The sequence below is a fragment of the Homo sapiens genome, chromosome 2 (assembly GCF_000001405.40).
Source record: "Homo sapiens chromosome 2, GRCh38.p14 Primary Assembly".
Classification (NCBI taxonomy): domain Eukaryota; kingdom Metazoa; phylum Chordata; class Mammalia; order Primates; family Hominidae; genus Homo; species Homo sapiens.
Genome location: NC_000002.12, coordinates 171,116,515 through 171,144,168, shown reverse-complemented (window position 1 = coordinate 171,144,168; position 27,654 = coordinate 171,116,515). Strand labels below are relative to the sequence as shown.

General features: G+C 37.2%; 2 protein-coding genes across 6 annotated transcripts in view; both read left to right on the top strand.

Annotated features, from left to right (window-relative positions):
* Positions 1-27,654, top strand: part of TLK1 (tousled like kinase 1) — a 240,471-nt gene that overhangs the window by 87,125 nt on the left and 125,692 nt on the right. For 4 of the 5 annotated variants that reach the window (NM_001136554.2, XM_011512238.4, NM_012290.5 and 1 more), the window contains exon 2: positions 26,312-26,430. The exons of the other annotated variant lie outside the window; for it this stretch is intronic. In NM_001136554.2, coding sequence (NP_001130026.1) covers positions 26,317-26,430 — 114 coding nt within the window. In that variant the 5' untranslated portion in view covers positions 26,312-26,316. The remainder of the gene's footprint in view (positions 1-26,311; positions 26,431-27,654) is intronic. 5 annotated transcript variants of the gene reach the window in all.
* On the top strand, positions 664-21,963 carry LOC124906092 (uncharacterized). Its single transcript, XM_047446755.1, has one exon. It carries the CDS (start codon positions 20,197-20,199, stop codon positions 20,692-20,694), a length of 498 nt encoding a protein of 165 aa, XP_047302711.1. The 5' UTR covers positions 664-20,196; the 3' UTR covers positions 20,695-21,963.

Sequence of the window (27,654 nt, the reverse complement as noted above, 5' to 3'; positions counted from 1 at the left end):
GGGGCTCTGTCATAAAGTGCAAGTGATTAGAATTCTTATATCTTCCTAATAAATTGACCCTTAATTGTTTTAAAATGTTTCTCTTGACCTCTCAAAACACCAGTTTTTAAAAGTTTGTCTGATACTAGTATATTCATGCCAGCTCTTTTGCATGGTATGTTTTTTCCCATCCATTTACTCTTATCCTGTCCCGTTTGTATTTTTGAATCTAAAATATGTCTTAAGTAGACAGCGTTTAATTGGATCTTATTCTTTTAAAACCCAATCTGGTAATTTCTGCCTCTTGAGTGTATTATTTAATCCATTCACATTTAGTGTTACTGATAGGGTTAAATTTGTCTGCCACTTTGTTTTGTTTTCTATAGGTCTCATTTCTCTTTTGTCCTCTTTCCCTCCTCTACTGCTGTCTTTTGCATTACATGAGTATTTCCCAGTGTAACATTTTAATTTCTTTAATCATTTTAAAACTATATTTGAATTACTAGTGATTACTGTAGGGTTTACATTTATATATCTTAGCTTATCAGAGTCTACTTCATAGCTACATTAATTCTTGCAATATATAGAAACTTTAGTCCTGTATAGCTCTACTATTCCACCTCCCCCACCTTTTTTTTTTTTTTTTTTTTTTTTTTTTTTTTTTTTTTTTTTTTTTTTTTTTTGGAGATAGAGTCCCACTCTTCTGCCCAGTCTGGAGTGCAGTGGTGTGATCTTGGCTCACTGCAACCTCTGCCTCCTGGGTTCAAACAATTCTCATGCCTCAGCCTCCCGAGTAGGTGGGGATTACAGGCATGTGCCACCACACCCAGCTAACTTTTTGTATTTTAGTAGAGATGGGGTTTCACTGTGTTGACTGGGCTGGTCTTGAATTCCTGACCTCAAGTGATCCTCCCACCTTGGCCTCCCAAATGTATCTTTTGATGAAACTGAGATAAGGAAAATACATTTTATAGTTTTTGTACTAACCTTACTTGTCTATTCATTTACCATTTGATATCATTTCCTTACTTTCAGTAAAGTTTGTCACTACTGACCCCTTTGTCCATTCGTGCATTCATTCATTCATTCCTTCATTCAGTCATTCATTTATTGAGAGACGGAGTCTCGATTTGTCGCGCAGGCTGGAGTAGTGGCATGATCTTGGCTCAATGCAACTTCTGTCTCTGAGTTCAAGTGATTCTGGGTTCAAGCGAATCCCTCCGGAGTAGCTGGGATTACAGGTGTGAGCCACCATGCTCAGCCCTGATTTCTGATTTGACTCCATTCTAGTAAGATTTAAATCCCTAAGACTTAAGTTCTTGGAAATTTGAGACTTGCTTTATGGTTCAACATATGGTCTTTTTGGGTAAACATTCCTTGTGTACAACAACAAAATATTTATAGACTACAGTTGTTAGATGTGGTGTAATATGTTCTATCAAGTTTGTTTCTGTTTCAGATTTTTACTGCTTTTGCATTTGTTTGCTCCTATTCAGACAAAGGTTTGTTAAAATATCCCCAAATGATTATAACATTTGTCTCTCTGTTTAATTTGTCAGTTTTTGTTTTATATATTTTGATTATGTTAAAGTGCTGACAAGTCAAGGTTTTTTTAAATCTACCTGGTGAATCAAACTTTTTATTATTGTGACGTGTCCCTCTTTATCTCAGTATTGCATTTTACCTTGTAGTGTTTTTAATCTAGTGTTAAGGCAGATACACTAACTTTCATTTGGTGTTTGCATGCTACAGCTTTTTCCATTCTTTCAGCTTTCGCGTTTTAGCCATATCTTTTAAGTTGCATATACTAGTTTAAATAAACTAGTTTGACCATGTTTGTTCTTTAATTGGAACATGTAGTACATTTACATTTAATATACTTGCTGATATGTTTAAATTGATATTCCTAATAAATGATTTCTGTTTATCCTGTTTGAACTTTCTCTTATTCTCCTTTTCTGCTGCTTTTGGGATTATTATTATTTTTTGTTCCAAATACCCCCCACCCCCCAACTTGGCTTAATAGTTAGACCATCTTTTTTTAAATTTGTTTTTAATATTTATCCTAGAGATTACAATATGCCTCCTTTCTGTGTTAAAGTGTGATATAAGTTAGCACTTTTTTCTCTTTCTGGTCAGTGCAGCAACATTAGAAAACATTAACTGTACATTTCCCTCTCCAGAATTACATACTATTGCCAGATAGTTTAGTTCTCTGATATTTTAACTCCCCACAAGATATTACCATTAGTGTTTTATTCAGTAATTATACATTTAAATTTGTTTATATACTCAGTTTTTTTCTTCAATCTTTAGTGCATTTCCAGGCTTCTAGCTGGGTTGATTTTCTCTCTGAAAATACTCTTTTTTTTCTCTATTTGGGCCTATCTGTTGAGGAATTCTTTTTTGCTTATCTGATAATGCTTTTTTTTCATTTTTATTCTTGAAGGGATTTTTTTGGGGGGAGGGAGCTGGATACAGAAATCTTGGTTGGCAGTTTTTTTCATTTGTCATGTTGCAGCTATGCACAGTGCCCTTGAGACCTGGTTTCCAGAGTTTCTGTTGAGAAGTCAACTATCAGTCTTACTGTTGCTCCTTTGACTGTAATCTAGCTTGTAGATCTCTGGTCACTTTTTGTTTTTGTTGGAGTGGGGGTGTTTATATTTGGTTTTCAGCAGTTTTACTGTGATATGTCTAGGTGTGATCTTTTATTTGTTCAGCTTGGTGTTTATAGGACTTCTTATAACTGTGACGTAGGACTGCACTGCCCAGTGCCAGCCACTAGCTGCATGTAACTGTTGATACCAATTAACATTTAAAAAGTTAAAAATTCAATTCCTCACATTTTAAGTTCTCAGTAGACAAATGTTTCTATTAGTTACTCTATTGGCAGATGGAGAACATTTCCATCATTCTATCAATAGAATAGAAAGTTCTGTTGCACAGGACTGATGAGCTCGTTCGTCAGTTTTGGAAAATTCTCAGACTATATCACTTCGGATAGTGCTTCTGTCTTGTCATCTTCTTTCCTCCTGGTACTCCAGTTATACATGTATTAAACATTCTTAAATTTGCCCTATGTTTCTTACATCCTTTTTTGTATGTTTTATCTTTTTATTCCTGTGTGCATTTTTAAAGATATATTTTTCTGACCAATCTTCCATTTCATTAATTCTCTTAGGCTGTGTCTAATATGCCATCAGACTCATACACTGAGTTCTTTAATTTAGTTTATTTTACTTTTTGGTTCTAGAATTTCAATTTTATTCTCTTTAGTTTCAGGTTTTCTGCTAAAGTTCTCAGTGTTAACTACTCAGCATACTTATTCGAGAGTCTGTGTCTGATAACTTAATTATCTAGATACCTTTGGGTCTTGTTCCATGTTTCATTTGCATTTTATTTGCGTTATTTTCTTGGATTTCTGGTTAATTTTTATTGTGTATGAGACATTTGATGTGAAAAACTGTAGAAATAATTTGAGGCCTAGAATAATGGTAGTCTTCCATGACATAAAATTTACATTTAATTTTGACAGAAACATAGGGGCCCTATAAATCTGCTTTTCTTAATTCACTTTTAAGGATTGAGATTATTTGAATCTGGGCTTTAATTGTAATTCTTTTGCTCTGAGGTTGAGATCCCAACCCAGAGTTTGGGGGAGGCTCAGGGTCTCATTTTTGTCTGGCTAACCCAGTGAGGCTTTCAGATGTTTTGCTTAGCTTTCCAGCCTCACAGTCACTACTTAAATCAGCAGATGCCTGTAGGGGAGAAGAAACCTGGTATACCAGACTCACTTCTGGGAACTTAGTGAATTCTGGCCCCATTTCTTTACTGCCTGATCTCTAGAAGTAGAGTTTTCGTTTTTTAAACTTAGTTCAACTTTTCAAGTTTCTTCAGCCAGAAGATTGGTTTGATGACCTGATCACCATTACTGGAAGGAGAAAGTCCTTGTTTGCTTTTATTTTTAATTCTTTAATTGGCTTTGAAATTTTGGGTGAATCTGAATCTTTTTCTCCTCTTAACCACGCTCTTCTTCTCTCACTCTCTTTATCTTCCTTTTGTTTAAATTATCAATTGGTTATATCGGGTCCACAACACCAGGGCTGCATACCTGTACTGGTCGCTATCCTGTGAGGAATGAGCCACACAGCGGGAGGTGAGCAGCAGGCCAGTGAGCATTCCCGCCTGAGCTCCACCTCCTGTGAGATCATCCGTGGCATTAGATTCTCAGAGGAGCGTGGACCCTGTTGTGAACTGCACATGCGAGGGATCTAGGTCGCTTGCTCCTTATGAGAATCTAACTAATGCCTGATGATTTGAGGTGTAACAGTTTCATCTGAAACCATCTCCACTCCACCCCACCCCACCCCACCCCACCCCTGGTCCATGGAAAAATTGTCTTCCATGAAACTGGCCACTGGTGCCAAAAAGGTTGGGGACCACTGGGTTATATACAGAGTTTGAATAGGACCAACTTGTGGAGCAGTTAGCCATCTGGAATTGTAGGTTTAATTGGAAGCAGAACTATTTTTGCCTTTGATGCCTTGAAGATAACCGGTTTTTGTTGTTGTTGTTGTTGTTTGTTTGTTTGTTTTTGAGACAGAGTCTCACTCTGTTGCCCAGGCTGGAGTGCAGTGGTGGGATCTCGGTTCACTGCAACCTCTGCCTCCCAGATTCAAGCGATTCTCCTGCCTCAGCCTCCCGAGTTAGCTGGGACTCGTGTGCCACCATGCCCAGCTAATTTTTGAATCTTTAGTAAAGACAGGGTTTCGCCTTGTCGTCCAGGCTGGTCTCAAACCCCTGACCTCTGGAGATCTGCCCGCCCCTGCCTCCCAAAGTGCTGGGATTACAGGCGTGAGCCACCATGCCCAGCCAGATTACTGTTATTTTAAGTTTTTTTGGCAACCGGCTAGTACCAATGTAAGTTAAGTTTGGATTCAAATAAAATCGTCAGAGCATTACAATATATTTTTAAAAGACAGCTCTTCGTGAAATAACATTATATATAATATGTGTGTGTATATATATATCCTATTCCTTTAATGCTGGGTATTTTCTCAGCTCTGTACTCAATTCTTTGTCCTGTAAGTAAAAATGTGATACACGTCTTAGTCACTTTGCTTCTTTTAAATTATAACCCTTTGAGCAGTAGTTTAATATAAAAAAGTTTTAGCTTTCGAAACAGACTTTTAGAGTTGCTCATACTGTATAACACCCTTTATGCCTTTGGAAAATTTCATCTTATGTATTGTAGTTACTGTTTCAATTTATTGATTATTTAGTAAAAAAATATGAATGTCTTTGTGGATGTTACTGTATTGTACGAGTTGTAACTTTAGAGTGCCACTAGCAACATACATATGAACCAGTTTAATGGAAACATTACTGCTCTTAGTATTTTTAGGAAGTGTTTGGCTTGTTAAGTAGGGGTGGTATTACATGTTATTTTACTTACTACATATATTTGATTACCAAGAGATTAAGCAGTTTTCCACGTGTTTATTACTGTTTCTATTTGTGACTTGTTTTAAAAATTAAAACAGTCTTAAATCTCATCTTGGACTTGTTACTCCTGCTCATTACTGCCAAGGCTTACTATAGTATTTACAAACTACAAGGAGTGTGATAGTTTTTATGTTAAGATTACTTAAATTTCTTTGGACTAATTTTCTTCTCTAGCTTGAGAAAAAAATGATTGGGATTTTTAAGAGGGATTACGTTATTTCGTACTGTCCTCCAAATGCTGCCATCTGAAATTTGAAGGTTTGCAGTATTTTTTAGATAAGTATACCTTGGTATGGGAGCCTCTGTGCTAGGACCAATTTATAGTAGTTCTCTACTCTCTATTTGCTATTATAAAGCCAAAATAAATATATTAAATATGTCGTTGTAAGTATATTAGTATTTAGCAAATTCTCTTCTTCCTTAAATTTTATGTTAATAAGTTAACTGGCTAAAACAAATGTGTACATGGCCAGTTAGAACACTGTCTAAAACTTCTTGATATAAGCAAACATTTTAGTTATCTTTGAAAGCTCACACGATAAATTACAACCCCTATCTCTACCCCCTTGAGCTTGCTTTTAAGAAAGTGATAAAAGTGATGCAAACTTTTTATCATTAGTTCTCAATAATTTTATTGTATAATTTAACTTTTATAGGATGCCTTTTCTAAATTTGTATGAAGTAAAAATAACTTTCAGTCCAGTTATTTGAGAAGACAAAGCTGTATAACTGAATAGTTGTATAAATCCTGTTTATTAAGAGTGCTCAAAGAGCTTAATAACTAATGAAAGTTTTTTTTTTATTTTTTACTTTTTTATTTTATTTTATTTTTTTTTGAGACAGAGTCTCACTCTGTCACCCAGGCTGTAGTGCAGTGGCGCGATCTCAGCTCACTGCAACCTTCACCTCCTGGGTTCAAGCATTTCTCCTGCCTCAGCCTCCCGAGTAGCTGGGACTACAGGCACACGCTGCCACACCCGGCTAATTTTTTGTATTTTAGTAGAGACGGGGTTTCACCATGTTGCCCAGGTTGGTCGCGAACTCCTGAGCTCAGGCAATCCGCCCACGTTAGCCTCCCAAAGTGTTAGGATTACAGACGTGAGCCACTGCGCCTGGCTGAAAGTTTATCTTAAAACTGAGGCTTATTCCGGATACTAAAGATATTAAACAAGGCATATGTGCATGTGCCTGGGTGTATATGTAGATGGCTTGGGGGTAGAAATAAAATAAAAAGCCACAGAAAAGGCTATGGCTTTTTATTTTTTAAAAAATCACTTCATTGAATCAACATTTTAATTTGTTGATATTCTTTTTTGAATTTACTTCGTTTTATTTCTGCTCTGCATCTAATTCCTTATTTGGGATAAGATATAGAGCATGAGTCAGCAAACTTTTTTTTTTTTGAAACAGGGTCTCACTCTGTCACCCAGCCTGGAGTACAGTGGCATGATCTCAGCTCATTGCAGCCTTGACCTCCAAGCCTCAAGCAGTCCTCTCACCTTGCCTGGCTAATTTTTATATTTTTTGTAGAGATGGGTTTCACCATGTTACTCAGACTGTTTTTGAATTCCTGAGCTCAAGCAATCCACCAGTCTTGGCTTCCCAAAGTGCTGGGATTACAAGTGTGAGCCACCACACCTGGCCTAAACTGTTTTAAAAGAGTTGTCACAACTACGACAGGTGCTTGTGTTTGTGTGGTAAAGTGCAGCCATAGACAATATGCTAACAAGTGGGATGACTGTGTTCTTTAAAACCTTACTATGGACACTGATATTTGAATTTCATATTGATTTTACTAATCACAAAGTAGTCTTGATTTTTTTACCTTATAATATTTAACAGGGTAGTCACTGCTGCCCGTCCTTGTATAGAGTAACTTTCCTTGAGGAAGTTCAACCCTTCTAGTTACCCAGCTATCCAGGTAGTTGAAAGTTTTAAGTTAAAGAGCAGATGTTTCTCTGACTTTTCATAGATCAAGAAAAGTCAAGGACCAAAATTGTTAGCTCTGTACATATGCAAACATTTTAGCCATTTTTTTTCAAAATTGTAATTGTGGTTAAAAAACACACGACATAAAATGTACCATCTTAGCCTTTTCTTTTCCTTTCCTGTCCTGTCTTGTCCTGTCCTTTTTTGAGACAGCGTCTCACTCTGTCACCCAGGCTGGAGTGCAGTGGTGCAACCTCCGCCTCCCAGGTTCACTTGCCTCAGCCTCTGGAGGCTGCCACCCTGCCTGGCTACCTCTTAGCCATTTCTAAGTCGGTAGTGTTAAGTGTATTCCTGTTGTTGTGCAGCTAATCTCCAGAATGTTTTCGTTTTGTCAAACTGTAACTTTACACCCATTAAACAACTTTCTAATTCCCCTCTGCCCCTAGGCCCCAGCAACCACTATTCTACTTTCTGTCTCTGTAAGTTTCACTACTCTAGATACCTCACAGAACTGGAATCATATAGTATTTGTCATTTTGTGTCTGACTTATTTCCCTCAACATAACGTCTTCAAGGTTCACCCATATTGTGTCATGTTTCAGTGTTTCCTTCCTTTTTAAGGCTGAATAATATTCCATAGTACGTGTGTACCACATTTTGTTTATCCATTCATCTTTTGATTGGACATGGGTTGCTTCCACTTCTTGGGTATCGTGAGTAGTGCTGCTATGAACATGGGTGTGCAGCAATGTCTTTGAGATCCTGCTTTCTATTTTCTATCTAGCTGTACCATTTTACATTCCTACTGACAGTACACAAAGGTTCCCATTTTTCCACAATCCTTGACAACACTTTTTTTCAGTGTTTTTGATGGTAGCCATTCTAATAGGTGTGAGGTGATATCTTATTGTATTTTTTTATTTACATTTTGCTAATAATTAGTGGTGTTGAGCATCTTTTTCTTTTTTTCTTGTCGCCCACGTTGGAGTGCAGTGGTGCGACCTCAGCTCACTGCAGCCTCTGCCTCCCGGGTTCAAGCGATTCTCCTGCCCCAACCTCTGGAGTAGCTGGGATTACAGGTGCCCACCACCACTCCCGGCTAATTTTTTACATTTTTAGTAGAGATGGGGTTTTACCATGTTGGCCAGGATGGTCTCGAACTCCTGACCTCAGGTGATCCACCCTCCTCGGCCTCCCAAAGTGCTGGGATTATAGGCATGAACCACCGTGCCTGGCCATCTTTTTCTTTTTTAAGAGATAGGATCTTGTTACATTGCCCAGGCTGGCCCCAAACTCCTGAGCTCAAATGATCCTCCCACCTCAGCCTCCAGACACTATGCCTAGCTCAATTAATATTTTTAATTGGCAAATCATAATTGTATACATTTATGGGGTACAGTGTCATGTTTTGATATATATATATATATATATATATACACACACACACACACAAACACACACATAATGTGGAATGATTAAACAAAGCTAATTAACATATCGGTCACCTCCTTTAATTTTTCCAGCAAGACATTTGAAATTTATTCTTTTAGCTATTTTGAAATACATGTCATATATCATTATTAACTATAGTCACCCTGCTGTGCGATGGATCTCAAAAACTTATTTTTTCTGTCTAACTCAAACTTTGTGTCCTTTGACCAACATTTCCTCATTTCTCCCAGCCCCTGGTAACCACTATTCTTTCTGCTTTTGTGTGTTCAAATTTTTTAGATTCCACATGTAAGTGAGATTATGTGGTATTTGTCTTTCTGTGCCTGGCTTATTTTACTTTGTCCTCTAAGTTCATCCATGTTGTTTCAAATGACAGGATTTCCTTCTTTTTTAAGGCTGAATAGGTCCGGCTCAGTGGCACATGCCTGTAATCCTAGCACTTTGGGAGGCTTAGGTGGAAGGATTGCTTGAGCTCCACCTCAAGCACCCCTTGAGGTGTGAGCTGTGATGGCACTACTGCTCGCCAGCTTGGGCGACAGAGCAAGACCCTGTCTCAAAAAAAAAAAAAAAAAAAAAAAGGCCAAATAGTATTACATTGTATATATACCACATTTTTTTTTTTTTCCTATTCATCTGTTGATGGACATTTAGGTTGATTCTGTATCTTGGCTATTGTGAATAGTGCTGCAGTGAACATGGGAGTGCAGATATCTCCTTAACATAATGATTTCAGTTTCTTTGGATATATAGAAATGGGATTGCTGGATGTGAGCATCTTTTCATTTCTTGGCCATTTATATATCATCTCTGGAGAAATGTCTGTTCAGATTCTTTGCCCAATCGTTAGTCAAGTTGTTAGCCAACTATATTTTAATAATACTTTCTTTTCTCTCTTGCAGTGTGTCACAAGTACAATTAAATAAGAAATTAACATAATTTAATCCTTACTTACAAAGGTAATATATTGCAAGAATGAGGAGAACAGTAAGGGGAATTTCTGATTTGCTAAATGCCAGTCTAATAGAGAAGCTGACCATTCCATAATTGTTTTTAAAGTACATGAACAGCAATCTGAGAGGATGAAATATATATATAATGTGACTAAAAAAGATATGGGATTGATTTTTATGTGTCATATAGAATTAATCATACCTTGCCTATATATTATAATCAAATTGTCTGTTAAGCAGATAAATTTAGAGAACTGTTATGCTGCATGGCATTTAGGTTTACATGCTGAGGAAGAAAAAAACTTGAAATGATTGTGGCTGGGCACATAACAATGAATTTTATGGATTAAAAAAAACAGCCAGGTATGGTGGCACATCTCTGTAGTCCTCAGCTACTTGGGAGAAGGTGGGAGGATTGCTTGAGCCGGAGAGTGAGGCTGCAGTTAGCTGCGATCATGCCACTGCACTCCAGCCTGGGCAACACCCTGACACCATCACAATGTATATGAAACATAAATAAATGTTATGTTTAGACTTGGGTCCCATCCCCCAGATACCTCATTATGTACACTCAAATATTAAAAAAAAAAAAAAATCAGAAGTCTGAAACATGTTGCTCCTGGGCATTTTGGATAAGGGATACTCAACCTGTATTCATCATTGTTCATAGTTAGACACTATGAACTATCAGTGTCTAAAGCCAGAAAGAAACCATTCCCTTTTCTTTTTTTAAAAAAGCTTATTTTATATTATTTTAGACAGGGTCTCACTCTGTCTCCCAGGCTGAAGTGCCTTGGTAGAGTTTCAGCTCACTGCAACCTCTGCCTCCTGGATTCAGGTGGTTCTCGTGCCTCAGCCTTGCGAATAGCTGGGATTACAGGCACCTGCCACCAAGCCCGGCTAATATTTTTGTATTTTTAGTAGAGACAGGGTTTCCCCATGTTGGCCAGGCTGGTCTGGAACTCCTGACCTCAAGTGATCCACCCTCCTCAGCCTTCCAAAGTGCTGGGATTACAGACATGAGCCTGCGCCTGAATTCAGTCTGTCACCAAATCTTGTTGTTTTTTCTCTCTTAGATACTTTTCTTATCTGTCACTGTTCTAGTTAGGCTCCTATTTTCTCTTAACCTGGATGGCTGCCTAACATGTCCCCATGTTTCCCCTCTGGAATCTACTGTTAGGCAAAAAGGCAGAAGCTATAGTACTTGACAGGTAACAATGTTTAATTTTCAACTTGACTAAAGTAGCTCAGCTTGTGTCCCTTTTATTTTTATTATTATATAGTTTTACATATTGAGCTCCAAGAAGTTATAGTTCCTTGGTTTTTAAATAAGATCTGTAAGAGGAGTTTAATCCATATTTAGTGTTGTGTTAATCTTCAAGCCAGTAAGTTAGACATTTATTCTCATTTTACAAATAAAGAAATCGTTGCTGAGAGTTAACTGTGTGGTGGAGTTGAGATTTAGATTTAGTGTTTTGTTATGTTTTTTGAGACAGTGTCTCACTTTGTTCCCTAGGCTGGAATGCAGTGGCGTGTTCATAGCTCACTGCAGCCTTGATCTCTGGGGTCAAGGGATTCTCCCACCTCAATCTCTTGAGTAGTTGGGATCACCCCACCCAGCTAATTTTTTGATGTTTTGTTGAGATGAGGTCTTACTATGTGGCCCAAGCTGATCTTGAACTCGGAAGCCATAGCACCTGGCTAACAGCCATCAGTATTAAACACAAAAGTGTAAGTGTCCCTTTTAGGCTTTTAATTATCTTAGAAAACAGCTATTTGTAAAGAAACTTAAAAAACTTTTACTAAAATACCACTACGCTGTATTATTAGAGTACTAACATTAATATGCAGTGAACTTATACAAATACGTAAGTTTATAATTTATCTGAAACTCGTGTTGGGGGGGGTAAGTAACTTTATGAGTTTCTGGATATATGACTACTGTTGATATGGTTTAGCTGTGTCGCCATCCAAATCTCATCTTGAATTGTAGTTCCCATAATCTCCATGTGTCCTGGAAGGGACTCGGTGGGAAGTGACTGGATCATGGGGGCGCTTTCCCACATGCTGGGTCTCCTCCCGATAGTGAGTTCTCACAAGATGTAATGGTTTTGTAAGTGTTTGGCATTTCTCCTGCTTGCACTCATTCTTCTGCTGCTCTGTGAAGAGGTGCCTTTGGCCATGATTGTAAGTTTCCTGAGGCTTCCTCAGCCATGAAGAACTGTGAGTCAATTAAACCTCTTTTCTTTATAATTACCCAGTCTCAGGTATTTCTTCATAGCAGTGTGAGAACGGACGAATACAATGGTAAAGAAAAACAAACCCAAACTGAGAATTGGATGGATGGAGATTTTATGTAAGATCTTTCATTTAGCAGTACGTCAGCTAGTGATAAATATATCATGTGATGAACTTTCAGGATTTTGTACACATTTTCATAATTGTAAATGTAAAAGTGTCTTTGAATGCCAGGGGCTACCACTGTATAAAATGTAATCTCAATTGTTGGAAAAAAAAAAAGTATGTGGAAAAAAAGACTGGAAGAAAATAAGCCATTGTTGACATTGGTTATCTTTGGGTGGTAGGACTATGAGTGGGATTTTTTTGGCTTTAATTTTTTGCATTTTTCCATTTTTCTTTACCATGCGTTCATGATTACGGGTAAAAAGGGAAAGAAGTGAAATTGCTTCTTTCCTGACAGTTTTTTAGGAAAATATCCTTTTGTTCATAAGGCAAATAAATTGTCTTGGGGAAGAAATATGAAGAAATATGAAGTCAGAAATATAATAATTGAAAGAAGTCTTGGTATAAGTCAGTATTTTTAAGTGACTGTTTGCTGGAAAACTATGGTGTTAATCTGAGGCCAACCAGGCATATGACTATAGAACTTTGCATCTGCCACTCTGTTTTGGCAGCTTTTAGAGTTATACAAAAAAGGTACGAGAATGATGTGACCCACAATTTATTTGAATCACTAAATACTGTCCAAAAATGGCAGTTACAGTAATTTGTGAGGACACTAGGGGATCTGATTATATCATAGGCCATTTTGGTCATTGAGTATTAGGTTGAACCATATGAACCTATTTTATAGATTAAAAATGGTTGAGTGTCTGTAACTTCCTGTGATTTAACCTGTTAAAAATAGTACTTTTTCATCCTTCATTCAAATTTGATTTACATAGCTTGTATTATATACATATTTCTGTATCTATCTATATATCTCTGTATCTCTCTCTATATATAGATATATAGATCTCTGCATCTATCTATATATATAGATACAAAGATATATAGGTATCTATCTAAGTTTACAGGTTGGTGTGTCCGTTAAGGTTGCAGATAAAAGAAATTATTATTAGAATCTTAAAATTTTGATTTTGGGGTGATTTGGTCTTTGGAAATATGTCTTTCTAGAGGACCATTATGACCTTAATGTGGATTATGTGCTAATTTATATATCTGGATCCCAAAGTTGGCATTCCCTGGAGTCTTGATAGCACGTTAGAGTTGGAAGTGATGGTTAAAGATTGTTTTAGTTTTCATCAAGCAGGATAACTCAACATGTCTACGTGGACATGTAGAGCAGGTAGGAGCCCTATCCTACGTAGGCTAGCCTGTTTTATTGGAAATCTGGTGGATAAAATTTATTTATTTTTGTTCCTTATTTGAAGGTTTAGGCTAGGTGAGTAGAAAGTGAGTAGATTGGAATGCTAATATGTTCCTTCTGTTGCTTTCTCTTCTCACGTGATTTACTTTGCATGTATTTTTGGGCAAGTTGCTTATTTTTCTGGGACTTAGTAAGTAAACATCATTTAGGCTAATATGGTCCAGGAACCTGCCAAAACCTTACATGTATTATCTCATTTAACTCACCTTATGAATTAACGCTGTGTCCTGCCTGTGAACAACCCTGTGATGGACATAGTCATTACCAAGATTTTTTTTTTCCCCGAGATAGAGTTGCTCTGTTGCCCAGGCTAGAGTGCAGTGGTGCGATCTTGGCTTACTGCAGCCTCCGCCTCCTGGGTTCAAGCAATTCTCCTGCTTCAGCCTCCTGAGTAGCTGAGACTACAGGCACATGCCACCACGCCCAGCTAATTTTTGTATTTCTAGTAGAGAGGGGGTTTCACCATGTTGGCCAGGTTGGTCTTGAACCCCTGACCTTGTGATCTGCCCGCCTCAGCCTCCCAAAGTGCTGGGATTATAGGCATGATCCACTGTACCCAGCCGTTATTACCAAGATTTTATAATAATCGGGTCACTACGTGGCAAAGCTGGGATTTGAACTCAGGCAGTCTGGCCACAGAGCCCATGTTCTTAACCTTACAGCTGGCTGTATTGTTAAAATAAATGTCCACAGAAATCAATTTTAGGAATCTTACGAGGATATGGTAAAGATGATGTTGATGAAATAATAGGTTGAAATCACTGTATGAATATTTAGAATATTTAGAATTTTACCCATGTTATGTTATGTTATGTTATGTTATGTTATGTTATGTTATGTTATGTTATGTTATTTGGTAACCTATCTATATCCCAGGCTGGAGTGCGGTGGCAGCATTTCACAGCTTACTACCACAGCCTCTACTTCCTGGGCTCAAGTGATCTTCCCACCTCAGCCTGGGACTATAGGTGCGGACTACCATGCCTGGATAATTTTTTAAATTTTTTTGTAGAGATGGGGTCTCTTCAGGTTGCCCAGGCTGGTCTCGAACTCCTGGGCACAAAGGACCTGCCTGCCTTGGCCTTCAAAGTGCTGGGATTACAGATGTGAGACACCACTCCTGGCCCCTTGTTGATTTTCATTCATTGTTTTCAGTTGTGCTTTAATAGGTAGATCGTATTCAACTTGGACTTCTTACAAAAAGTACTTGCAGCCTCCTTTTTGGTCAGGGATCTACTTACCTGCTGTAAAGGGACTTTAAGAAAGAAAAACTGTTCTGTGGCCCTTCTTTCACCCTGTATTATTGGGATAGAAGAATAGGCCAAGAAGGAGTACTGTGGAGCAGTAAATCATCACTGTCCTTTTTAAGGTTCATAACAATTGGTTACCTCTCAGGAGTGGGATTTGGAGACAAGGAGGTATTGGGACTTTTTACTTTTATATTTTTGTATTTATTTCAAGAAGCACCTATTACTTAGTAATGAGGGAAAGGGATGAAACCAAAAAAGAGTCTTGAGTACTTAGGTTAGAGACAAGATACCAGTCTACTTTCTGGTAGTGAGGAGAGGGTAATTACCAGCTCAAGTTTTACCAGATTCCTGTTTTGGAGTTTTCTTAGAGAACATTCCTTCTTACTGCAGGATCAAGTACATGCTCTGTTTTTCTCTGTGTCTCTGACACGGACACGTGCACACACACATACACACACACACACACATACTCTTCCTCTGGACCCTTCTTTTGGGACAGAGATGCTTAGTTGAGTGGATATAAACTATAACAAAAGGCAGTATAACTTAACCTTTCAGTGTCTCAATTTCTTTATTTTTAAAATCAGGACTATATGTTAATACAGAAATGCAGTCTAGTATAAAATACATCTATATGTGAGTATGTGTATATACATTTGTATGTATGTGTATATATATATACATGTACATGTATATACACAATGTGAGAGATTGATTTTAAAAATAGCAGATTGTCACAAGTTTGAGGCTAGAGGAAGAGGAACTTGGTTAGTTGTGTTACTACTATATTAGCATAAAGAAATTAGGCACGGAAGTATATGTAATCCTATTATACTTAGCAGGAACTTCTAACCCCAGGAAGAAAGCTAGAAGGGGGCTTATTACATTATATATGCTAATATTTATTGAGCACTTATATTTTAGCATACATATATGTTCACATTTATTGAATGCTTTCTAAGTGACAGATTTAGTTCAAAACTATTCATAGAAACTTATTTTACTTTAACAACTCTATAAGGTATGTACTTTTATTATCTCCATTTTCTATATAAGGAAGCTAAAATAGAGAGAGATTAAAGAACTTGACCAAACTTTACACAACTTATCGACCTACGTATGTTTTTGATGAAAGAAAAATTAGTTGTCAGATTTTTTTATTAGTAAGAATAAAATTGAAATTTAAATTATTTTCATTTTTTAAGGTCATGGCAGTAGAGAGAAGCAGAAACCCTATGCTTTAGTAACTCTGATGCAAGCCATATCTCCTTATATGAATTATTTGGTCTCAGAGTATTTGAATTCTTTGCTGTAAGGGTTGCAACAAAAGTGTTTAAAAAGACCAATTATATTAAAAAGATTAGGTGAAGCATTACTCTGACTTGGAATGATTCTAGATTAGACCTGTCTTCTCTACCACAGGGTTATATAATTGAACATGTATACCTAGATTCAGGGACCTGACTTTCTATACTTACTGTTGTCAGACATTTGGGTGAAATCTTCGGAAAGTGTGTGTCTGTGTTTATGTGTGTATGTGCAGTACATATATATCTATATATGTAGATAGATGGATAGATAATATGACTCAGAAACAGATAAATAGTTTAGTGAAACTATTTAGTGAATAAAGTACAAAACAGACCGATGTTTATGGAATGTGATAACCAGAGAGGTATTTTAAATTAGTGGGAAAAGTTTGAATTGGTGAGAAATTGGGACATTTTCCTTTGGAAAAAAATTAGATATATATCTATATATAATTCTAAATGGATTAATGTTCTAAATGTTAATATTTGAAATCATTAGAAAAAAATGTAGGAAATGGGTTTATTGAATTCATGTGAGGGAAGGGTTAGAAAAAGAAATTGGGCTGGTTTTGTGATAGCTCATTTAACTAACATGTTCATTTAACTGCCAAAAAATTAGAATATTTGGTTTTAAAGTAGGGAATCAAACTGTGGAATAAATAATGCAACATAGTATAGCCAACAAAAGTTATAGCTAAATATGGTACAAAATATTGTCAATGAAAATAGGTATGTTCTATTTATTAACCATGTTAAAATGGATGTTTCAAGACAAGATTCAGAAGTAATTCCAGTGTTATACAATATAGACTTCTTGAATTTTTTCTTTCTTTTTTTTTTTTTTTTGAGACGGGAGTCTCACTCTGTTGGCCAGGCTGGAGTGCAGTGACATGATCTCAGCTCACTGCAACCTCCGCCTCCCGGGTTCAAGTGATTCTCGTGCCTCAGCCTCCTGAGTCGCTGGGATCACAGGTGTGCACCACCACGCCTGGCTAATTTTTGTATTTTTTAGTAGAATTGGGGTTTCACCATGTTTACCAGGCTGGTCTTGATCTCCTGACCTCAGGTGATCCACTCACCTCAGCCTCCCAAAGTGCTGGGATTACAGGCGTGAGCCACCGTGCCCAGCCCAGACTTTTGAATTCTTTTGCTTTCGATACTTTTGAGTGCATTAAAAAAAACTAATGAAAAGGAATTATTTAAGTGGAATATTTTATCTTGGAGAAATAATTTCGTTGTCATAGTGTTTATTTTTAATAAAAGGAACCTCTGCCTTATCTAGTATAATATGTAAAGTATTAATAGAAGAAAAGCTTTAACTGTTCTCTATAAATCAGCTTATCAAGTGTAATATGAAAAGTAGCAGTTAAAATCTCGAGTGAATTAAAATATTTTTAGACTTCAGGAAGTTTTAAATTTAAAACTAAGGTCATGGCTCAGCAGCAATTGAATCTACTATTAGAAAGCTCTTAGTGAAAAAACTCTTTTTCACCTTTTTGGTAACTGGTATTAACCTTTTAAAAACCTGCATTCTAGGCATTTGATTTTATTATGACTGTCGTCAAGGAAGATTAAGACTTAAGGCAACTAAAAAATTATATAATGAAAAAATGATTCCTTGTCATAAATACAGGTGATATAACTATCATATAAAGTGATGTTGACTAACCAGAACTAGTAATATGTTCTAATATATCATCCTTGGATCCTTGGGAGCCCATACTTCTACAGTAATCAACATTTATTGAGTTTATGAGAGTGTGTGTTTAAAGACAGGGAGAGAGAGAAAACATGTTTATTAAAATGAAACATGACAAACTAATGGGTCGGATTGTGTTCTTTATGTTCCCTAAAATTTTTCTTCATCATATTGAATGTGATTGATCTCTAATTTGGGTAGTGACATTCCTTGTTATATGTTTTATGTGATGTTTTGGATTTACATTTGTAAATTTTGGGAAACAGGATAGTAAGAAGAGTAGCATAATTAAAAGACAGGTGGTTGTGCTTTGAAATGGGCTATTCTTTAAGAATGGTATGATCTTTATAGTGGCTTTTGTAATTTCTTCCTTTTCAAAATTATAAACATTTATTGTAATAAAGAATTTGATGGATTATAGTGAATTTACTTTTTTTCCAGAAAATTTCCCTCTTGAGGACAGAATTTTTTGTTAAGGGTCAAAAATGACAGTTTGAGTCCATAAAAGATTGAAATCTTTGAAGTGTGTTTTCTAGAACAGGAGTAAGCAAACTTACCTATTTTTACATGGCTAAAAACATCAAAAAAGAATAATTCTTTCAGGTGATGGGTGCACCAAAATCTCAGAAATCACCGCTAAAGAACTTATTCATGTAACCAATCACTACCTGTTCCCCCAAAACCTGTTGAAATAAAAAATAAATAATTCTTTGTGACATGTGAAATTTGAATTTCATTTTCTATTTATAAATAAAGTCTTATTGGAACACAGCTGCTTTTGCTTTATAATGGCAGAGCTGAGGAGTTTTGACAGAAACTGTATATGGCATTCTCATTACTTCAAGCTACTGTTTGGTGTACCACAAATTTCAGTGCTGCCATTATTGCTTGACGGTGTTTTGAGTGCCACATCTGTGACCAGATTGCAATTTTTTATTTTATTTGTTTATTTATTACCACTGTGTATCCATCATGTCAAAAAAAGGAAAGAAGAGAAAAATATAGACGTGCTTTTAAGGCACATTGGAGTGTGGGTTATTTTGTTATTGAATTTAATAGCAAAACATTGCTCTTATTATGAAGTGACACTAGAGCTGCAATAGAGGAATACAGTATACATGAAAGTAACTAGACTAATCATATACTACACTATGTCCAACTCTGAGGAAAGCAATAGAAAAATTACAAAACTTAAAAATGGAATATCTCATCACAGCATAATTTCTTCATAAAAATGAAAATGAGGCTGCCACCAAAATAAGTTTCCAAGTGGCTTATTTGTTTGCCAAGCAAGGAAAGCCATTTACTGATGTTGAGTTAATTAAATTGTATTTTATTGAAGCAGTCAAAAAAATTATGTCCAGAGAAAATAAACTTGTTTTAGGCTATTAGCTTTTTGGCAAGCACAGTTGATTTAAGAGTTGAGGACATTTGAAGCAACATCACTAGTCAATTAAAAAACAAGGCAAATGATTTGGAGTGGTTTTTCTCGGCTCTTGATGAGCCGGCAGATGTTATTGATACAATTCAGTTGTTCTTTATTCAAGGAGTCAATTCCAAGTTTGAAGTGGCAGAAAAGTTGGCCTCTGAATAGCCTGTGCAGAACAACTACAGGCAAGAATATTTTCAAAGCTGAGAAAACACTAAGTACAATCTGAAGTGGAATCTGTAAGGATGTGCTGCAAGCGGTGGTGATAGAATACATACGGAGCAGCAAAAGGCTTAGTTGGAGTAATTTACAAAGCTTGTAAAACTGAGGAGTTCATAGTTTATGGTTATTCATTGTTATTCATTGGCAGATACTTTGCAGAAAATATTTCCATCTATCCATGTGTGTTACTGAATCAGTACTGTCAACTGTGAAGTCAGTTTGCTCTTTTGGACTTAACTAGCATCAGCTGCATTAATTTTTGTTAGAAACAGGACAAATATCCTGACTGGCTTAGAAGTGGTAAAGTATATTTTCACAATTGTTTGAGCTAAAGGCTGAGATTGAAATTTTTTTAATAAAGAGAACTGCCCTCAACTGCTATTAAATACTAATTAGCTTTGGAAATTAGCTTTTTGTGAAGATTGAGTAATGTTTTTAAAATGAATTTAACCTAAGATTTCAAGGCAAAATAGTGTCTATATTTGAAAGAATGTGGTAAAGTCATTTCAGTGGCAACTGATATTCAAATCCCAAATAATTTCAGGCTGCTTTATATATTTCTCAAGCTGTCAAAGAAGTTAGATTGTCATTCCCACATAAATATGAGTGGACGTATTTTCTAGTCTCAAACTATAGTTCCCACAGCATTTTTCAGAAGTTGACACAAATGCACAGAAAGTTCCATATTTCAAAAATTTGTTTAATTTTGTAGTGGAGAAACTTTCTACCTAACCTTGAATTGGAAGTAATTAATCTGCACTGTGATGACATACTGAAAGGCAAATATCAAATGAAGAACCAATGGATAACTGCCTTCCCAGTAATGAATATGCTCAATTAAAATCATGCTTGTGGGTTAATATCAATATTTGGCAATATCTGTTTCTGTTAAAAGACATTTTCAAAGACAAATACATACAGTCTCATTACAGATCAGTGTTTTTTTGTTTGTTTGTTTTTAAGCAAAAGTGCTCTCATTCTGCGCCCAGGCTGGAGTACAGTGGCACAATCATGACTCACTGCAAGCCTGTATCTCCTGGCCCCAAGCGCTTCTCCTACCTCAGCCTCCTGAGTAGCTGCGACCATAGGTGCATACCACCACACCTTAGGTTTTATTTTTTTAATTTTTGTAGAGACAGGGTCTCCCTATGTTGCCCAGGCTGGTCTCGGACTCTTGGGCTCAAACAATCCACCTGTCTTGGCCTCCCAAAGTGTTGTGATTACAGACGTGAGCCACTGCGTTTAGCCTGCAGATCAGTATTAACAGATGAGGCCAGGCGTGGTGGCTCATGCCTGTAATCCCAGCACTTTAGGAGGCACAGGTGGGCTGATCACTTGAGATTAGGAGTTCAAAAACAGCTTGGCCAACATGGTGAAACCCTGTTTCTACTAAAAAAAAAATTACAAAAATTAGCCAGGCATGGTGGCATGTGCCTGTAATCCCGGCTACTTGGGAGGCTGAGGTGGGAGAATCTCTTGAACCTGGGCGGTGGAGGTTGTAGTGAGCCGAGATTGTGCCACTGCACTTCAGGCTGGGCAACAGAGCAAGACTCCGTCTCAAAACAAAATTTAACAGATGAGTATTTGTAGTAGATTTTGATGATAGGAAACCCCAATTAAGTGAGGTGCTATCTTCTCAAAAAGAATTTCATTCTTTTCATTAGCAAACTTTTATTAAAAAAAGAAGTGTGTGTGTGTGTGTGTGTGTGTGTGTGTATTTATTTATTTATTTTTTCATATAGGGTCTTCTCTTGTCACCCAGGCTGGAGTGAAGTGGTGTGATCTCGGCTCACTGCAACCTCTACCTCCTGGGTTCAAGTGATTCTTGTGCCTCAGCCTCCTAAGTAGCTGGGATTACAGGCATCCGCCACCACACCTGGCTAATTTTTGTGTTTTTAGTAGAGATGGGGTTTCACCATGTTGGCCAGGCTGGTCTTGAACTCCTGACCTTAAGTGATCCGCCCTCCTCAGTCTCCCAACGTGCTGGGATTATAGATGTGAGCCACTGCACCTGGCCTATTATAAAATATTATACTCATTATTGTATCTTGGATTTTGTCAATAAAAAGTTTTTGGAAATTGTTTCTGTATCCAGCCTGGGCGACAGAGTGTCTCCAAAAAAAAAAAAAAATTGTTTCTGTCTTGTTATGTAAGTATCTATATGATTTTGCCTGTTGGCCAGCAAAGACTAAAATATTTGTGACTGGGCCCTTTACAGAAAAAGTTACAGATCTGTGTTCTACAGAAGTACTTCTGAAACATGAATGTATATAGTAATTACTGGGGATCTTGTTAAGATGCAGATTCTGGTGTGGTCGGTTTGTGGAGGAACCCATGATTTTGCATTTCTTATAAGCATCTTGGTGATACAGTTGCTGCTGGGCTCATGCACTGTAGTTTAAGTAGCAAGGCTCTACTGTTTAGGATTAACATTTGCTAAGCACCTATTATGTGCCAGGAATTACACCAGGGGCTCTTGAGTATATTGCCTCTTTAAAATATCTTATTAGGGCCGGGTGCGGTGGCTCACGCCTGTAATCCCAGCACTTTGGGAGGCTGAGGTGTGTAATTCACGAGGTCAAGAGATCGAGACCATCCTGGCCAACATGGTGCATCCTGGCCAACATGGTGAAACCCCGTCTTCACTAAAAATACAAAAATTAGCTGGGCGTGGTGGTGAGCACCTGTAGTCCCAGCCACTCAGGAGTCTGAGGCAGGAGAATCGCTTGAACCCAGGAGGTGGAGGTTGCAGTGAGCCAAGATTGCACCACTACACTCCAGCCTGGTGACAGAGTGAGACTGCGTCTCAAAAAACAAACAAACAAAAAGTAATTAGAAGGTGTTAAGAATTAAGGAGAGATTGTGCTTTTAAGAGTTTTTGGTTAGAAACCCATTTGTTCTTGGGTGCCTAATTTCCTGTAAGACCTCATGAAGAGGGTTGAGGTCCTAGAGGAAGCTATATATCTGGGAAAAACAATAGGAAACAAAATATATTATTATTTACTGATCTAGGTCAAAGCAGGGCCCCATGCCCTCATCTTCCATGGTAAATTTCAGTGTGCCATCAACCAGTTATCAAGTCAAAGAGTAGGCATAGTATATAGCACATACATGCTTTATAAATGTTTTCTTCCAATCTGTTGTTTACCTTTTCATTTTGTAACCATGTTCTTTTGAACTAGCACCATTTTAAATTTTTGATGAAGTCCAATTTATTGAATTAAGAACTTGTAAGTATTATTTGAGACAGGTTCTCGCTGTGTCACCCAGCGTGGAGTGCAGTGGTGCAATCTTGGCTCACTGCAGCCTCGACCTCCTGGGCTCAAGCAGTCCTCCCACCTCAGCTCCTTAGTAGCTGGAATTACAGATGCTCACTGCCACACCCAGCTAATTTTTGTATTTTTTGTAGAGACAGGGTTTTGCCACGTTGCTCAGGCTGATCTTGAACTCCTGGACTCAAGTGATTCTCTTTGCCTTGGGCTCCCAAAGTGCTGGGATTATAGGCAGGCGCCGCGACATCTAATTATTTTTTTTTAAATTGTGGCAAAATATAAAATTTACCATGTTAACTATTTTTAAATGTAAAGTTCAGTGGTATTAAGTACATTCATACTGTGCTACCATCACCACTATTCATCTGTAGAAATTTTCTGTCTTCCTCAGCTGAAACTCTGTACCCATTAAATACTAACCTCCCATTCCACCACACCCCCAGCCCCTGGCAACCACCTTTTGTGACTGGCTTATTTTACTTAGCATATCTTCGGAGATCTCCGTGTTGTAGCATGCACCCATATTTTCTTCATTTTTCAGGCTGAATAATATTCCATTGTATGTAGATACCACATTTTGTTTATCCATTCATCTGTTGATGGCCACTTGGATTGCTTCTACCTTTAGGCTAATGTGAATAATGCTGCTGTAAATGTGTTTGTACAAATACCTGTTTGAGCCATTGCTTTCGCTTGTATTGGTTATATACTCAGAAGTGAAATTGCTGGATCATATGGTAATTCAGTGTTTCATTTTTTGAGGAACCGCTATACTGTTTTGCACAGTGGCCGCACCATTTTATGTTCCCACCAGCGATGCACAAGGATTCCAATTTCTCCACATCCTCACTAGCACTTGTATATTTGGGGTTTTAGTTTTTGATAACAGCCATCCTAATGGGTATGAAGTGGTGTCTCACCGTGATTTTGATTTGCATTTCCCTCATGATTAATGTTGAGCATCTTTTCATGTGCTTATTGGTCATTTGCATATCTTCTTTGGAAAAATTTGTATTCCAGTCTTTTGCCCATTTTTTAATTGGGTTTTTTTTGTTATTGAGTTGTAGAAGTTCTTTATATATTCTGGATATCAATCCTTTATCAGATATATAATTTTCAGATATTTTTTCCATTCTGTGGGTTGCCGTCTCACTCTGTTGATTGTGTCCTTTTAGGCACAAAAGTTTTTAATTTTGATGAAGTCCAACTTACCTATTTTCCTTCCTTCCTTTTTTTTTTTTTTTTTTTTTTTTCTGACGGAGTCTCACTCTGTCGCCCAGGCTGGAGTGCAGTGGTACGACCTCGATTCACTGCAGCCTTTGCCTCCTGGGTTCAGGTGATTCTCTTGCCTCAGCCTCCTGAGTAGCTGAGATTACAGGCACACACCACCACGCTCGGCTAATTTTTTTGTATTTTTAGTAGAGACGTTTAGTAGAGATGTTGGCCAGGCTAGTCTCGAACTGCTGACCTCAAGTGATCTGCCGGCCTTGGCCTCCCAAAGTGCTGGGATTTCAGGCATGAGCCACTGCACCTGGCCCTATTTTTTCTTTAGTTGCCTGTGCTTTTGGTGTTAGATCAAAGAAACCATTGCTAAATTCAGTGCCATGAAGCTTTATCCATATGTTTTCTTCTAAGAGTTAGAAAGTTTTAGGTCTTATATTCAGGCATTTGATCCATTTTGAGTTAATTTTTTTATATGGTTAAAGTAAGGATCCAACTCAATTTATTTGCATGTGGATATCCAGTTTTCCCTGCACCATTTGTTGAAAAGACTGATCTTTCTCCACTAAATGGTGTTGGTGTTCTTACTGAAAATCATTTCACGTGAGGGTTTATTTTCTGGTCTCCCTGTTTTATCCCATTGCTCTATATATATGTCTGTCTTTATGCCAGTACCATATTCTTATTTTAAAAATGTGATTTAATGTTTTCAAAATAGTCCTGTGCCAGGGAAGGATTGATAGTTTTTTATAAAGCAAAACTTCAGTAGATTTTAAGTTTCAGTGCCAGGCTTAAGACTTGGCAGACCTGGCATATAATAGGTGTGTGATTTGAGAATCATGTTTGAAGCCAAAGGAGATCTGAAAAGAAAACAGAAGGCCATGGGGAATATTTGCAGTTAAGAGAGAACAAGAAGGTGGTGGGGGGAACAGGTGTGGCTGAATTATGAAAACTAGAACTGTTTATGTTTTTGCTTTGGTTTTTCCTCTCAATAAAGGAATAATATACAGTTTCTGATGTAATAGCAGGAAGAGAAAAAATGGAAGCATTGATGATACTAAGGATGATATGGTTATAAACCAGTTTAAGGGAAGAATTAAATGGTAGTACAGTAAAATTGAGGCTAAGGTAGACTTCTAAAAAGACATAAGTGAGGGCAGAAGGAGACAAGGAGTGAGTAGATGCCAGAGAGGTAGGGTACTTGTGAATACAAGATTTCTTGGATGTCAAGAAGGAGTGAGGTCAAAAGCAAGTGTTAAAGGCTTTAGCTTTTTAGAGGGATTTACCTCTTTTTTTGAGCTAGAAGAAGTAGACAGAGGAAGGTGTATTTTCAGGTACAGGGATCCAAATAAGCATGAAAGAGTGGCCACCATCCATCTAGTCCTCTGTCCAGGTGAGGATAAAAAGTAAGAAAGGGAATTTCAAAAGATAAGATCTATAGGAGTAGTTGTTAACCTTTAGGAGAGGAATGTCAGGATGTGTGGAAGGGGCTAGTATAGTTCAAAAATGTTCCCCAAGTCATTCTGGATTCTGGTAATATCCTTACCTGCTCCCTTTGAGAGCCATTCATTTATGTCACTTCTGGGGTTTTTGTTAGAAGAGAATTAGCAGACATAGATAAAGTAATTTTTGTTTGAACTTCATCTAGAATTTGGAGTGCTTTAGTCTGCATAATAACAATAACATCAGGGTGTTAAATTTTTCCCCTTAATTTTCAAGGTGGTTTAATACTAGTAAGTGTTACTTCAGTCATCTGTGTGTGTGGTAAACGTGTTTGTGTTTCATTTACCTGATGGAAACTTAAAACTATCAACCGTACAAAAAATCTTAAGGATTGTGACAATAATAAAACAGTTCTTTATAGTTTAAAATGTAGTTAGTTATATAAGATATACATAAACAAAATAATTAAGTGGTAATGTCGCATAGTTACAATTCTGGGTATGCTCAGAATAGGGAGATTACATTAGGAGAGTAGTATTTTTTAAACTATGGACCCATGGTCCATTGTTGGTTTATGAAATCAATTTAATTGCTATTTACTAGTGTCACCTCACTCTTTTTTAAGTGGACTAGGATAGGCTAGAAAATAGATGTTGTACAGGACTCTTACTACTGCATTGCAGTAAGATTTGGTATTCTGTGAAACTTTTAAATATATGAATGTTTGTAACTGTGTACTAAATTAGATGGAAAATATATTTCTTCTGTGAGTTGCAGCCAAAAGTGTTGGAAATCCATTGTAGGATGTTTTGATAAGTTGATGTGTACATTTAAAAATAAAGTCTCTCAATTTCGTCTGCTTGTAGCATTCATTCCTAAATTTTTAACATCTTAACTAATCACATATATATATTTGTGTGTGTAAGTATAAAGTATACACACATATATATGTGTACATATATATTTTTTTTTCTTAATAGGTGCAATGGATGAGCTTCATAGTCTGGATCCAAGAAGGCAAGAGTTATTGGAAGCTAGATTTACTGGAGTTGCAAGTGGGAGCACTGGAAGTACGGGCAGTTGCAGTGTTGGAGCTAAAGTGAGCAAAATTCTCATCTTTATTTGACAGTCTTTCTTTCTATTAAATGATCTAAAATAGTATGTAAAGGATTCCTACATAACGTGCTTAACAGCAAATGTAACTTTTATAATGTGTAGAATAAGATCAGTGTTCATAAATGCGTTTTTAATGTAGTATACCATATTTCAGGGGCATTATAATACAGCATAATATGTTTCAGGGATAAAAAGGAGTTTGGTAGATTGTACTGCCTGTCTCCCACTATGTAGTTTCTTATCCTTCCTGCCCTTATTATCCATGGTCCTATCTGTACATCTAATCCACAGTTTCTAACTGCTGCATAAAACTTTAATAGTGTATATCTTTTAGGCCAGGAGTCCTCAACCCCTGGGCCAAGGACCAGTACCAGTCCTGTTAGTAACCGGCCACACAGCAGGAGGTGAGCGGCAGGAGAGTGAGCATTACTGCCTGAGCTCCACCTGTTTGATTCAGCAGCGTTAGATTCTCATAGGAGCATGAACTCTATTGTGAACTGTGCACATGCAAGGGATCCAGGTTGTGCACTCCTTATGAGAATCTAATGCCTGATATGAGGTAGAACAGTTTCATCTCTAAACTATTCCCCACCCAACCTCCACCTTCCCTCTTTTTTCATGGAAAAATTGTCTTCCATGAAACTGATCCTGGGTGCCAAAAAGATTAGGTATTGCTGTGTTCAGCCTTTCAGTGATAGACCCAGATTGTCTACCTCAAACTGTGATGAGTTTTCATGTACTTGGGCTCTTATGGACCTTTGTGACCATTTATTTAGGATGTTTTCCCAAGAGTACAATTGCTAGATCATAGGGTATGTATAGACTGAAATTGGATAAATACAAGGTTGCTATTCAGAACAGTTGTACTAATCTGCATTTTCAGCGGAGTGCATGAGTATTTCTGTATTTCCATATCGCAGAAACACTTGACACCATCCACATTCCTCATTTAAGTATAAAATATCTTCTTGTTTTACTTGTACCATCAATTATTTTGAGCATTTCTTCTTTTTTTTTTTTTTTTGAGGGAGTCTCACTTTGTCGCCCAGGCTGGAGTGCAGTGGCATGATCTTGGCTCACTGCAACCTCCGCCTCCCAGGTTCAAGCGATTCTCCTGCCTCAGCCTCCCAAGTAGCTGGGATTACAGGTGCTCACCACCATGCCTGGCTAATTTTTGTATTTTTAGTAGAGACGGGGTTTTACCATG

Excerpts from the sequence above, each read along its gene's own strand:
- LOC124906092 (XM_047446755.1), top strand. The coding sequence starts at position 20,197 with ATGGATAACTGCCTTCCCAGTAATGAATATGCTCAATTAAAATCATGC.